Raw genomic sequence first — 15,486 nt, 5'->3', positions numbered from 1 at the left:
CGCTCTGGCCGGCGCTGTGGGCAGAGGAAGCGGGCGGGAGGGAGGGAGGAGGTGGGGCGGTCGCCGGCTTCGGAGAATAGAACGCGGCGGTAGCGACGGCTGCAGCGCCCGCGTCACTGACCCAGCTGTACCGCGCGGGCGGGGGAGGCCCCGCGGAGGGGAGGGGGCGGGGAAGGGGCGGGAAAGGGGCAGGGCCAGGCGCGCACGCAACGGCGCCGGCGTCGCGCCGCCGCGACCGCCCCGCCGGGAGGCCCTGCACGCACGCGCCGCCGGCCGGGCCAGGTACCCAAGGGAGAAGCGACGCGGTTGGGGAGGTGGGGGGTCCTTAAAGAGACAGTCCCTCTGCGCTGGAGTGGATGGGGCGGTGGCACCGACTCAGCTGGACTATGCGGCGTTTCCAGTGCGCTCTCCAGTTCGTTTACTATTATTATTATTTGCATGATTGAATTACTATTATTTGCAAAGAATTGTACTGCCCTGAGGTTTACAAGGCTTTTGGCGCATGTTGCCTTGTTAGCTCTTGAATTGCTCGTCTGACCTAGCTCGTCTGAAGCAGGTTATTATCTCCCTGTTAAGCAGTAATCCGAACTGTGGTTCCTAGCCTGCCAACATTAAAGCTGCCCGGGGGGTGGGTGGGGGTGAAAATGCAGATTCGGGGCCCCGAATGACCTCCAGCCATTGTGATTCAGTGGGGTCGGACTTGGGAATCTGTATTTTCACTAGCATTCTGAAGTGAGTGATCCTTCAGCATACTAAAAGCACACAAGGGATCTCAAGGTTGAGAAAACCGCAGTTCAGAGCCAGGACTGGCAGAGCCCGGGCTAGAAGCCTGCCACATTCCTAACTGTATTTCCCCTCTTGAGCCTTGCCTTCTGGGGCTATTTTCTAGCACATACTGAGTGAGCAGTTTGTGCACTGTATGGCTACATCGTTTATTGGTGATCTCTCATGCAGTGTGTCCTCGGTTTATGTGTTTACAGGGCCCGTGGCGCCTTGATGGGGAGGACTCTGGCTTTTTATCTTTGTACCCCAGGGCCTTGCACCGTGTCGGTCTCAGAGGTCCTCCATAAGTGTTAAGGAACTCCTACTTGTAAATCAGTGGTAGAGTCCACATCTGGACCTACAGACTTGTGTCTTTGCTGCAGCTTGGGTCAGGCAGGCCTCTTCTCCCAGATGCTCTTGGACAAAAGGATACACCTTCTCAGGGCCTCTCACCAGGCCTAGTTCTAGTAGGCTTTCGGGAAAAGCACTGTGAATTAACAGGGCATGTCCTTGTGAAGTAGCTTGAACCAAATAAACAGGATGCTCCTCCCCATGCACACAGACCCATCCCCAAAAGAACCCTTCCCTTCTGGGCCCCACAGCAACCTGTGGCTCGTTGCTATAATGCCTTTTTCATAAGTCTATCCTTGTTCTGCCTTCTTTCTTCCTTGCCTTCTTGGGTCCAGACTCATTAGAGAAGATGGGCACCCCTCCCTTCCTGCTCATTTGGGGCCACACTGCCCAGACCACTAGAAGATTGAAAAGCACAATTCAGAACTACCTGGGTCTGCCTCAGAGCACAACCAAATCAGTGTGGGCAGCAGGAACATGCCAGGCAGACCCAAGGCTCAGGGAGGGGACAAGGGGGAAGGAAGCAAGGGAAAGGGATGGAGGAAGAATTGGAGAAGATGAATGGAGGAAGGAGAAAAAGAAAGAAAGGAAAGGGAAGAAAGCAGGCATGGATGGTTCAGGTCAGATCAACTGCCAAAGTAACTGAGCCCCTGGCTGTGCACTGAAGTCAGTTTGGCCATTAAGAGGCTCAGTAACTTCATACAAGAACTGCCACCTTATAAAATCCCTTGTGAGACCCTATGCAGATCTGTCCATCACTACCCAAAAATCCTCAGTCGGGCGCGGTAGCTCACGCCTGTAATCCCAGCACTTTGGGAGGCTAAGGCAGGCAGATCACGAAGTCAGGAGTTTGAGACCAGCCTGGACAACATGGCGAAACCCCTTCTCTACTAAAAATACAAAAATTAGCCAGGCGTGGTGGCACATGCCTGTAATCCTAGCTATTCAGGAGCCTGAGGCAGGAGAATTGCTTGAACTCAGGAAGCAGAGGTTGCAGTGAGCCGAGATCGTGCCATTGCATTCCAGCCTGGGTGACAGAGTGAGACTGTCTCAAAAAAAAAAAATCCTCTCCCAGACCTTCAGGGTCCACAGAATGAACTCAAAGTCATCAGCAAGGACTGTAGTATCCTGTGCTGTCCACAGTCCGGCCCAAATGCTCTCCATCCCTCCACACACCCCACTCCAGCCTCCCCATACCACCTGCTGGTCTCTAACAAGCCATTCCTGTCACAAACCAGGTGCCCATGCTGTTTCCTCAATCTTGAAGGCCTTCTCTACTTACCCTTCAGAATCTTCCCAAGGCTGCTGCTTCTACTTTTCTGTGGCACTTTGGTTGAGCCCCAAAGTGCCACAGAAAAGTATTAAATTAAAATTTTTAAACATTTTAAATATTTAATTATTTATTTATTTATTTTGACGGAGTCTTGCTCTGTCGCCCAGGCTGGAGTGCAGTGGCATGATCTGAGCTCACTGCAACCTCCGCCTCCCGGGTTCAGGGGATTCTCCTGCCTCAGTCTCCCGAGTAGCTGGGTTACAGCTGGGATTAGCTTCCATTTCCTTCTGCTTTGAATTGCCAGAATCAGGGTCAAGTCTCCTCCCTTTATAAATGTCAGCTCACCAGCCTTTCCTGTCTTCTCATCCCCTCCTATCTGAAGTTCCACTGGCCTCTTCAGTACAGCTGACGAAAAGCCCCTGTTACATTCTACGTATAGGCCTTGCTCTTCTCACCCGCAAAATGGAATGGTACTTCCTGGCCTGGGGTGAATATTATCTTTCTGCCATTGAAAAGATCTCACAAGATGAAGGTTAAGAATAATTTAGACTTAGACATTCTCAAGTGGGAGGGATCATAGATTTTTTTAAATAAAATTCTTTAAAATTTTTAAGATTTTTTTTTAATTTAACAGCTTTCTCACACCTGTAACCCCAGCATTTTGGGAAGCTGAGGCAGGCTGATCATTTGAGGCCAGAAGTTCAAGACCAGCCTGGCCAACATGGCAAAACCTCGTCTCTACTAAAAATATAAAAATTAGCCTGGCGTGGTGGTGCACGCCTGTAATCCCAGCTATGTGGGAGGCTAGTCACAAGAATTGCTTGAACCTGGGAGGCAGAGGCTGCAATGAGCTGAGATTGCGCCACTGCACTCCAGCCTGGGCGACAGAGTGAGACTGTGTCTTAAATAAATTAATTAATTAATTAACAGCTTTATTGAGATATTCACATACCAGCAATTCACAGTTTAAATTTGTATTTATTTTGTATAACTTTACAAATTGTACAAATTTGCACATGTACAATTGTACATTTAGAGTGAACAATTCAATGGTTTTTAGTATATTTACAGAGTCGTACAATATTTTAGAACATTTTCATGACCCTAAAAAAAACTCCCATACCCATCAGCAGTCACTACCATTTCCTCCCTCCCTACCACCTTCCCTGCCTCCCTCCCTAGGCAACCAACAATCTACTTTCTGTCTCTATAGATTTGCCTATTCTGAGCACTCTCTATAAATAGAATCATACAAATATGTGGCCTTTATAATTGATTTTTTGTTTCTTCCACCTAACAATCAATTTTAAACCAGAGCTAATTTTTTATTTTCACTTTTCAATTCAGACCCTGCCTTATTCTAAAAGGACTTAAGATGGCTCTTTGAGCTAATATTCCTGGGTCCTTCCAGATTTCCAGCATAAATCTTTTTTTTTTTTTTTTTTTTGACGGAGTCTTGCTCTGTCGCCCAGGCTGGAGTGCAGTGGCATGATCTGAGCTCACTGCAACCTCCGCCTCCCAGGTTCAGGGGATTCTCCTGTCTCAGTCTCCCGAGTAGCTGGGACTATAGGTGCGTACCCCCACACCCAGCTAATTTTTGTATTTTTAGTAGAGACAGGGTTTCACCACGTTAGCCAGGCTGGTCTCAAACTCCTGACCTCAGTGATCAGCCTGCTTCTGCCTCCCAAAGTGCTAGGATTACAGGCGTGAGTCACCACACCTGGCCAATTTCCAGCACAAATCTTAATATTCTGCTCTAAATCTAGGTGCTGGAATATGGCATGGGGGTTAGATTAGTCCCAGTTGGTGGTGAGTAGAATAGCCAGCCATCCCAGTTTGCCTGGGACTAAGGGGATTCCTGGCACATGGGACTTCCAGTGCCAAAATTAGGACAGTCCTGGGCCAATCAGGATGAGGTAGTCACTCCTATGATAAGAGTCAGGAGGCACAGTATTCCTTTCATCTCCCAGGAATATAACAAGGAGTGTGTGCCTTTACTGCTTGCAGGGCAGGACAGAGGAGTTTGGCTCTCTGAAAGTGAGAGAAAAGGTTCAGAATAAGTACATGGAATCTCAGTTGCTATGGTTATTACATACAATAGTAGTAATGACAGCTACTATTTACAAAGCACCTACTGTATGTCAGGTGCTTGGTAGGGACTTGATACGTGTAACCTCTAATTTTGGCAACAGTCCTCCAAGTTAATTATCATTAACACCATTTTACAAGCAAGGCTTAGAGAGATTTTTTTTTTTGACATATCAAAACCACATAAGTATGTATGTTGCAAAAGCAGAATTCATTCTTGTTTGTCTGTTCCAAAGGTCACACTTTCCCAAATAAACCATGTGCTTCCTCCCACCCCTAATAAAAATAGCAAATAAAGATTGAAATTGTCCTCATATATCTCTTGCTTTTTAAAAAAGTGCTTTTTTGCATACCAGCTAGTTTTTTACAACATCCCCATAAAACGAAGAGACATTATTGTCCCCAATTTTACCTATAAGGAAGTTGAGGCACTGAAAGGTTGCTAGCTTGTCTGATCTCATATAGAAATTAGCATGAGTTTCATGTTTTGATTCAAGATTCCTTGGGCAGCTTTCAAAGCCCTGTGAAGGTAAACCCATTTGACCCCAGAGGAGGTGGAAGGTGAGGCCACCCTCACCGCAGAATGTCAGAGTCCAAAATGGGTGGGCTGTACAGGGCTAGGCCAACAGGAGCTGAGAAGCAACTCCCACTCCAGAGGAGGAAGATCTAGGCTCAGGAGGTTATCTGAATTTGTGAGCCTGCACCATCACCAGGGGCAACCCTTCTTGCAGCTTGTCAGGAGCCTGTGAGAGCCAGGCTTGGTGACGCAATCCCTGCAGGCCACTGGTCGGAGGGAGCTTTGTAGAGGTCAGAGTTCAGGGCTTAGATCTGGGCTATTCACAGCAGCAGCTATGATTCCCTATCCACCCCAACTCTGACCCTAGCCTTAGAAAATGTGCACTTGAGGCTGCCCAATTAGCAGATACATATAAGAGGGCAACCCAGCCCCACCTGCTTTTCTGAAGCATGTCTTTGACAACATTCTTTCCCTAATACAGGTCAGGTTAACTGGTAAAAGTGTTGGCCCCATTTTTCACACAAGGAAAAGCCAAGGTAGAAAGGGAGCATCCACCTGCTATGTCTCCAGATGGTATCCCAGTGGAAGATGAATGAATATCAGATCCCCCCCACCCCTGGTGCCAACCAGCCTGATGACCTGCTGCTTGCCCTTTGCCCAAGGGCTGGGCAGTGACTCTAGGAGACAATCTGCAGGGAGGAAGGAAGGGACTGGGGATAGCCTAGGGCCTGAGGCCTTTCTAGACAGAGCCAGCCCACAAACCCCTCCCACATACACACACACACACACACACACACACATATACACACACACACACCTACACACACACACAGCTCCTGGTCATTGGACACTGTATTCCCTCCCTGATGGTTCATTTTCATGTGATTTAATGGTGAGAAGACAGAGCTATATGATTGGCCTTGCTAGCTCTGAGCTGCCAGTGCATAGAGGAATGGAGTTGCTCCCTCCTTCAGACTGTCTGGGGAGGCAGGGATAGGGCTGTGAAGCTCTGGCAGACACAACACCTCAGAAGGTTCTTGGCTCCAGGACTTGTTGGCTGGATCAGTAGGGTCAGTCCCTCTTTTGGCTGGCCAGGGACCTTCAAAATCAGGGTATTTTGATACCTCCAAAATCAGGGTATTTTGAAGGTGCTGATGATGGACCCCAAGGTGCAGCTTTGCCCCCAGGCATGTCAATGAATCCCCTGAAAAAAGCTCCAATACATTAAATATGTACTGTCTGCCAGATACTTTGCTAGTGGCTCCACATACATGATTTTATTTAATCCTTGCAATAGCCTCTGAAATAGGTATTAATACTATTATCTTCATTTTGCATATGAGGAAACTGAGGTACATAAAGTTTAAAGATGAGGCCAAGGCCACAGTTACTAGTAGCATGTCCTGCTTCTTAGGGAATACAGCTGTAATTTGCACTGTAAAAACCAAATGTGATTTTTAAAGGGGGACCAGAGCAGGTTACCTGCAGTGGTGTGCTGAAGAGTGCTCAAACTGTCAAGAATCAATTCTAAAATGTTCAAGATTTTTGTAAGCTAGTTGTTAAACACAGCCTTTGTTAAAAATTAAATTATGGCCAGTAGCAGTGGCTCACGCCTGTAATCCCAGCACTTTGGGAGGCCAAAGCAGGAGGATCACTTGAGCTCAGAAGTTTGAGACCAGCCTGGGCAACAGAGTGAGACCTCTTTACAAAAAATACAAAAATTAGCCAGGCATGGTGGCACACGCCTGTGGTCCCAGCTACTCAGGAGGCTGAGGTGGGAGGATTATTTGAGCTCGGGAGGTCAGGACTAAAGTAAGCTGTGATTGTGCCACTACACTCCAGCTTAGGTGACAGAGCAAGACTCTGTCTCAAAAAAAACCAAAAAAATTAAAAATTAAAAAAATTAAATTATATATATGTAAAATTAAATTATAGTTGTTAAAGTAATAAATACTCAAGTTACCACTTCCTAATTATTAATTATTTTACTACATTGTATTTTTTTACTTTTTCTGCCTCCCTTCTCTTACATTATACTCTTATCTATGCTTTCAAGTTTATTTACATCTCTTATGAAGTACTACATCATATTATGCCACTTCTCATCTCTTCTCAACTCCACATTCAGTGACATCACATTGATAGTTTGAAATCAGATACAGTGGAAGTATTTACACCACAGAAATTACTAAATATAAATCAGCTCCCACCTATAGAACAAGTTGCTAAACATTTACAATTGAAATGTGAAACATTTACATCTGGAAAACTGAAAGCTTCCAGCACCAGGGTCTGTAGCAGTAGTGGAGGAGGTGAACCCAGGGCTAGCTGAGCTCACCAGCAGAGCCAGCAGGGTTAGTGGGTGCAGGGCACATGTGGAGTATCTCTAGGAGGCAGCCAGACCCCATAGTCTCCATTTTACAGGGAAGGTGAGTTCTGAGGCCAGGTGAGAAATGTTTGATGCCTCAAAAGTGTGTCGGTTCCAGCTGGGTGCAGTGGCTCATGCCTGTAATCCCAGCACTTTGGGAGGCCAAGGCGGGCGGATCACCTGAGGTCGGGAGTTCAAGACCAGCCTGACCAATATGGAGAAACCCCATCTCTGCTAAAAATACAAAATTGGCCGGGCATGGTAGCACATGCCTGTAATTCCAGCTACTTGGGAGGCTGAGGCAGGAGAATGGGTTGAACCTGGGAGGCGGAGTTTGCAGTGAGCCGAGATCATGCCATTGCACTCCAGCCTGGGCGAAGAGCGAAACTCTGTCTGAAAAAAAAAAAAAGTGTGTCGGTTCTATTTGAGATGCACTCCACCTAGATGCACCATAAAGATTTCTTACTTTCCATATCCCCCAATAGAGTATGTTCTCCAGTTACCAAGGGAGATGGAGGGACAGGAACCTGAGAGGAAGCCTGCCTGGAAGAAGGGGGCTGCTGGTCCTCAGTCCCTTGTGAATGCCCAGCCTCTAGTGGTGGGATTAAGAATGCAGCCTCTGCCCTCCAACCTTAGGTCAAGACGCTCAACCAGAGTCTCCCTCCACAGAGTACCATCATGGCATTTCCCAGCACAGAGCACAGGACAGCTGGGACAATCCTTGTGGGACAAATGGACGATGGACAGAAGCATCTGCTTCCAACAGGAGGGTCTCAACCATCCCCTTAGAACCTATGCCCCCTTTGGATAGTATTTTATGACATCCCCCATTCCACTACCATGAAATGAAAATCATAGCATAATCTGCCTACACACATAATTGCAAAAAATAAATGCATGCATAGGTTCACCAAAAGACACGTACAAGAATGTTCACAGCATCATTATTCATAATGGCCAGACACTAGAAACAACACAAATGGATATGGTATGTCCACATGATGAAAACGAACAAACTTCTGCCAGGCACGGTGGGCACAGTGGCTCATGCCTGTAATCCCAGCATTCTGAGAGGCCAAGGCGGGCAGATCACTTGAGGTTAGGAGTTTGAGACCAGCCTGGTCAACATAGTGAGACCCCGTCTCTACTAAAAATTCAAAAATTAGCGGGGCATGGTGGCGGATGCCTGTAGTCCCAGCTACTCGGGAGGCTGTGGCAGGAGAATCGCTTGAACCTGGGAGGCGGAGGTGGCAGGGAGACGAGATCGCGCCACTGCACTCCAGCCTGGGAGACAGTGAGACTCTGTCTCAAAAAAAAAAAGAAAATGAACAAACTTCCAATTCACACAACAACATGGATGAATCTCACAAATACGATTTTGGCTGAAAGAAGTCAGACATGAAAAAAGCATGCATGTATGTTTCCATTATATCAAGTTCAAAGGTAGGCAAAATTAATTTAAGGTGTTAGAAGTAAGGAGAGTAGTTACCTAGAGGAGTTGTGACTGGGTGGCACCATGAGTTGGACTTCCAGGGTATTGAGAGTGTTCTGGTTATGAAGGTGTGTTCATTTTGCAAAAATTCATAGAGGTGTACTCATAAGATTTGTCCACTTTTTTGAAGTATGTAGTTATTCAATAAAAAGTTTACTTAAAAAAAAACAATCAATCAATACAATGCCCTAACTGTAATATAAAAAAGAAAAGGCCGCTTGCACCTAGAGTCAATTCATAGCAATTACAAATGCAGACAGATGTAGGTGTGTGATTTTAGTGATGCAAATGCCTTCAACAATGTCGCTATTATGTTCTGATATGTTCAGCTCTTGGTAAAATGCTGAAAAATAAAGCACATTTTTCCTGTAGTTGTATTCTTTTTCTTTCTTTTTTTTTTTTTTTTTCTGAGACGGAGCCTCACTCTGTTGCCCAGGCTGGAGTGCAGTGGTGCCATCTCGGCTCACTGCAACCCCTGCCTCCTAAGTTCAAGCAATTCTCCTGCCTCAGCTTCCCAAGTAGCTGGGATTACAGGTACCTGCCACCACAACCGGCTAATTTTTGTATTTTTAGTAGAGACAGGGTTTTGCCATGTTAGCCAGGCTGGTCTCAAACTCCTGACCTCAAGTGATCTGCTCGCCTCAGCCTCCCAAAGTGCTGGGATTACAGGTGTGAGCCACCACGCCCAGCCCCTGTAGTTGTATTCTGATCATTATAACAGGGTTTTTTGTTTGTTTATTTATTTGTTTTCCCTATAGAAACATCTAGTGGAAGGCATACAAGAGTCTATGACTTTGTATAGGCACACAGGATGGTTCTATGCTGTGTAGGGCTATCTATTGCAGACTGACTATGCCCCCTTGTCTGTGAAATGGGAGTGACAGCAGTACCTGCTTCATAAGGCTGTTGTGAAAATGAAATGAATTCACTTCAATGAAGTGCTCAAAACAGCAGTTGGCACACACGAGCACAAAATAAGTGCTTGATATTATTTGTATCATCCTGGGCCCTACCCACTAAATGCCAATGGTGCCTTCATCGTCATAACAACCAAAAACACTCCCACAGATGTCCAAACAGCCTCTAGGGTTGACACTGCCCATAAAGAACCATGGCTTTAAACCTACTGGATGAACAGTACTTACACCAAGTAGCAGTGCTATTCATTGATTCATTCATTCATTCGCTCACAAAGCAGTCTGTGCTGAGGATTGCTTTGTCCAGCTCCTGCCCTCAAGTTTCTGAGTAGGGAGATAAACGTGTCCACAAGTAATAACACAGTGTGATAGTGTTTACATAGCCCAGAGGTAGCAAAGTGTCTCTCAGGCTCCAGCCCCCGGCAGAGGGGTTTGATCTACTTTGTGGTTTGCTTTCATTTATTATTATTATTATATTATTATTATTATTATTATTATTATTATTAGAGATGGAGTCTTGCTCTTTCGCCCAGGCTGGAGTGCAGTGGCACGATCGCGGCTCACTGCAACCTCTGCCTCCCGGGTTCAAGCGATTCTTCTGCCTCAGCCTCCCAAGTAGCTGTGATTACAGGCGCTCGCCACAACACCCAGCTAATTTTTGTATTTTTAGTAGAGACAGGGTTTCGCCATGTTGGCCAGACTGGTCTTGAACTCCTGATCTCAGGTGATCCACCTGCCTTGGCCTCCCAAAATGCTGGGATTACAGGCGTGAGCCACCGTGCCTAGCCATTGCTTTCATTTTTTATTTAGTTGCCAGTATTTGAAGATGAGAAGATTTCATGCATTAAAAAGTCCAAATTTCCTGCTTCTCTTGAAAAATCCATCGCTTTGTAAACATCAGTCCTGCATGTGTATGGTCAGGAGACCTGTGTTTGCCACAGCCCCCACCTGACCTTCATTTAGTTTTCCTACCAGGTCTCTGCAGACCCTGGGGCTTCAGGCCATCTCACAGGTCTGTCTCCTGATAGCTACGGGAACTCAGGACAACTAAAAGCTTCCAGAAGGGGCAGAAGAGTTCCAAAGACTCAGTGCAAGGCAGATAAAGTGGGAAAGGGCTTTCTGGGTGGAAGGAGTAGCATATTCAAAGGTCTATGCTACAAGAGCAGTGGCATGCCCAAGGGCCATTCCCTCATTCATGGAGACACTTGGCAGAGTCCTTAGGCCCACTGCAGCAGGAGGCCAGGGGTAAGCTAAGAGACAGGCCCGAGCTTTAAAGTTCCCAGGTCTAACACCAGCCTGCTCTCCTGCTCTGCACACTGCTTGGCAGAGGTACAAATTCAAAATAAAAGTGAGTTCCAGGGCTGAGGTGCTGTGGGACAATACTCACAGTCTCCTTGCACCTGGGACAGCCCTAAGAGATGAGCCAGAGAGTGAGGGAAGTAGCAGGAACAGCCTGGTCCTTAGGTCTCTGCAGGGCTGACTTAACGTGGTAAGAGTGAAGGGGCAGGAAAGGGCTCCCCTCACTTCTGAAACATATCATTAGGGATGTGCATCCCCTAGCTCAGTGCTTCTCAAACTTTTATGTGCACATGAATCACCCAGGGACCTTGTTAAAACACGGTAGCTCTGAAGTGGAGCCTGAAAGTCTTCATTTCAAACAACCTACCAGGGATGCTGTGCTGTTTGTCCAAAGACCACACTTACACAGTCGCTGGAGCAGGGTTTCTCAACTGCAGCAGTATTGTGTGGGATAAGCATTTGTATGGGCTGTCTTGTACCTTGTAGGATGTTTAACAGCACCCTTGGCCTCTACCCATGTGATGTCGGCAGCAGCCCCCAGTAGTAACAAGAAAAAATGACTTTGGGCCGGGCGCAGTGGCTCACGCCTATAATCCCAGCACTTTGGAAGGCTGAGGTGGGTGGATCACTTGAGGCCAGGAGTTCAAGACCAGCCTGACCAACATGGTGAAACCCCATATCTACTAAAAAATATATGAAATTATCCAGGCATGGTGGCACACGCCTGTAATCCCAGCTACTTGGGAGGCTGAGGCAGGAGAATCGCTTGAACCCAGAAGATGAAGGTTGCAGTGAGCCAAGATCACTCCATTGCACTCCAGCCTGGGCAACAAGAGCGAAACTCCATCTCAAAAAAAAAAAAAAAGAAAGAAAGAAAGAAAAGAAAAGAAAAAATGACTTCAGACATTGCCCCGTCTCCCCTACCAGAGAAGCAAAACCCTCTGTTAAAATTTTAGAGGAACTTTTTTTTTAACATATATATAAGTTCCCCTTCTGTCATGCAGTGGTGCGATCACAGCTCACTGTAATCTTGACCTTCTGGGCTCAAGCAATCCTCCCACCTCAGCCTCCCAAGAAGCTGGGACTACAGGCACACGCCATCAAGCACATCTAATTTTTAAATTTTTTGTAGAGATGAGGTCTTCCTATTTTGCCCAGTCTGGTCTTGAACTCCTGGGCTCAAGCGATCCTCCTGCCTCAACCTCCTAAAGTGCTGGGATTACAGGCGTGAGCTACTAAGCCCAGCCTGGAACTCTTTTTAAAAAAAAATGCCTATGGGCTTTTCTGCAATCTAGAGAGACTCCAAGACACTGGGACAGGGCTGACCATATAATTTGTAAAGCACAGTACAAAATAAAGATGCAGTGACCTTATTCAAAGAGCAGGAAAAAAGTGTTGCTAAAGGTACTAGAATATATAAAGCTTTTGCCTTTAAAAATATTTTATTACGGCCGGGTGCGGTGGCTCACGCCTGCAATCCCAGCACTTTGGGAGGCCAAGGCGGGCGGATCACAAGATCAGGAGATCGAGACCATCCTGGCTAACATGGTGAAACCCCGTCTCTACTAAAAAAAATACAAAAAATTAGCCGGGCATGGTGGCAGGCACCGGTAGTCCCAGCTACTTGGGAGGCTGAGGCAGGAGAATGGCGTGAACCAAGGAGGCAGAGGTTGCAGTGAGCCAAGGTCGCGCCACTGCACTCTAGCCTGGGTGACAAAGCGAGACTCCATCTCAAAAAAAAAAAATTTATTACTTATAAAACATAATGAGGTAATAGCGATACATGAGTAACAACATAAACTCACAAATGACAAAAAAGTACTTTGGTGTCATATGTCATGTAATGCAATAAATCATAATACTTTATTAATATTATAGTATCTTGACCAGATTTTCCGGGCTAACTTTTCTGCAAGTTTATTTATCAGGTTATCAAAATTTACAATTTTAGCAACTTTATTTTCAATCAGTATAACTAACATTGAAAGCAATGTTAGTTGCCATTGGCAAATCCAAGATCACAAATAATTTCTGATTGTTGTGAACAAATGTACTGTACAAAAATTAGCTGGGCATTGGCCGGGCGCGGTGGTTCACGCCTGTAATCCCAGCACTTTGGCGAGGTCAGGAGTTCGACGCCAGCCTGACTGACATAGTGAAACCCCGTCTCTACTAAAAATACAAAAATTAGCCAGGGATCGTGGAGGGTGCCTGCAGTCCCAGGTACTCGGGAGGCTGAGGCAGAAGAATCGCTTGAACCTGGGAGGCAGAGGTTGTGGTGAGCTGAGATCTCTCCACTGCACTCCAGCCTGGGCAACAGAGCAAGACTCTGTCTCAAAAAAAAAAAAAAAAAAAAACTAGCTGGGCGTTGTGGCAGGCACCTGTAATCTCAGCTACCCAGAAGGCTGAGGCAGGAGAATCGCTTGAGCCTAGGAGGCAGAGGTTGCAGTGAGCGTGAGATCACGCCACTGCACTCCATCCTGGGTGACAGAGAGAGACTCTGTCTTAAAAAACTAAAAAAGCAAAAAACAAACAAAAAACCCCCAAAACAAATAATTTCTGATTATTTAATTTTTTATTTAATTTTTTTTTTAGCCCAGCTAATTTTTGTATTTTTGGTAGAGACAGGGTTTTACTATGTTGGCTAGGCTGGTCTTAAACACCTGACCTCAGGTGATTCACCGGCCTCGGCCTCCCAAAGTGCTGGGATTACAGGCATGAGCCACCACGCCCCGCCAAATTTTATTACATCTAGAGATGATGATTCTCATGGAACAATTTTTCCAAACAAATTTAATTCATACAAATCAGCTTCATGCAGGTCTGAATTAATTTACTTTAATTACTATTTTTTATTTTAAAAATTAAAATTATTTTGAGCTCATCTGTGGAAGTGGCATAAATTTAGTTTTAAATGTAAGTTTACACGGCCGGGCACAGTGACTCACGCCTGTAATCCCAGCACTTTGGGAGGCCAAGGCAGGCAGAACACCTGAGGTCAGGAGTTCGAGACCAGCCTGGCCAACATGGTGAAACTCCGTCTCTACTAAAAATATAAAAAATATTAGCCAGGTGTGGTGGTGGGCACCTGTAATTCCAGATATTTGAGAGGCTGAGGCAGGAGAATCACTTGAACCCGAGAGGGAGATGTCACAGTGAGCCAAGATTGTGCCATTGCATTCCAGCCTAGGCGACAGAGTGAGATTCTGTCTCAAAAAATAATAATAAATAAATAAATAAAAATAAATGAAAGTTTATACAATGGCTTTTTTTTTTTTTTTGAGACGGAATCTCGTGCTGTCACCCAGGCTGGAGTGCAGTGGCGTGATCTTGGCTCACTGTGACCTCTGCCTCCCTGCTTCAAGTGATTCTTTTGCCTCTGCTCCCCGAGTAGCTGGGATTACAGGTGCCTGCCATCATGCCCAGCTAATTTTTGTATTTTGCGAAGAGACGGGGGTTTCGCCATCTTGGCCAGGCTGGTCTCTGAAACTCCTGACCTCGGGTGATCTGCCCACCTCAGCCTCCCAAAGGGCTGGGACTACAGGCGAGAGCCACTACGCCCAGCCCCTCAATGGCCTTTTCATATCTCCTCTGACATACCCCATAATTTGTGAAGGTCACATAGCAAAAGTGACTTCATCTTTTGTGTATAATTTAAAACACCTACTATGCATTCTTTCATTGTATCTTCTATTACAAGAAAAATTAATTTTGAAATTGTTTTGCTTGTTAATAATTGGTTTCTCCAAAGCTTCATATCAAAGTATTCTTTTCCATTGAGTACAATGACCTTTAATTTCTCTCTGTAAGTCTATGAATATTTGCTTGCAATTTTGCAGCACTTTTCAAAACTGAAAATTCAAAAATTTTAAACGAATTCTAATAATTCCCTGATATGCTTTATTACGACGTCCATATATATGCTTTTATTTTCTAATCATTTACAGACAAAGTTTACTGCCTGAGATCCAACAATTCCTGTCCTGGAGCTTAGACCCAAGAGTTATTTATCATTATTATTTTTTATTTTTATTTTTTGAGACAGAATTTCACTCTTGTTGCCCAGGCTGGAGTGCAATGGCAAGATCTCATCTCACTGCAACCTTCGCCTCCTGGGTTCAAGTAATTCTCCTGCCTTAGCCTCCCAAGTAGCTGGGACTACAGGGGTGCGCCACCACGCCCAGCTAATTTTGTGTTTTTGGTAGAGACAGGATGTCACCATGTTGGTCAGGCTGGTCTCGAACTCCTGACCTCAAGTGATACACCCGCCTTGGCCTCCCAAAGTGCTGGGATTACAAGTGTGAGCCACCGCGCCCAGCCCTATGAGTTATTTTTTATACAGCCAGGGACAGACAAGCAGGCTTCCCAAGCAGGGTTCCAGCACTGATATCTCATGTAGCCCCTTCTCTTTCCTGTGGT

The 15,486-nt window shown here is 45.9% G+C and overlaps 1 protein-coding gene across 1 annotated transcript in view, besides 1 other annotated feature; it reads right to left on the bottom strand.

Annotated features, from left to right (window-relative positions):
• Nucleotides 1-118, bottom strand: part of SUSD6 (sushi domain containing 6) — a 103,549-nt gene extending 103,431 nt beyond the window's left edge. The window contains exon 1 of the mRNA NM_014734.4: nucleotides 1-118. This exon is cut by the window's left edge and continues 115 nt beyond it. The gene's annotated coding sequence lies outside the window, so the exon portion shown is untranslated.
• Nucleotides 1-369: part of a silencer, noted in NCBI's record as "silent region_5882", that runs on past the window's edge. NCBI's record gives its function as "represses an Ori minimal core promoter by ATAC-STARR-seq in GM12878 lymphoblastoid cells {active_cell/tissue: GM12878}" and the evidence as "EXISTENCE:reporter gene assay evidence [ECO:0000049][PMID:35858748]".

This window comes from Homo sapiens, chromosome 14, assembly GCF_000001405.40.
Source record: "Homo sapiens chromosome 14, GRCh38.p14 Primary Assembly".
Classification (NCBI taxonomy): Eukaryota; Metazoa; Chordata; class Mammalia; order Primates; family Hominidae; genus Homo; species Homo sapiens.
Note: the sequence above shows the minus strand (reverse complement) of the source record. Positions and strands in the feature narration are given on the sequence as shown.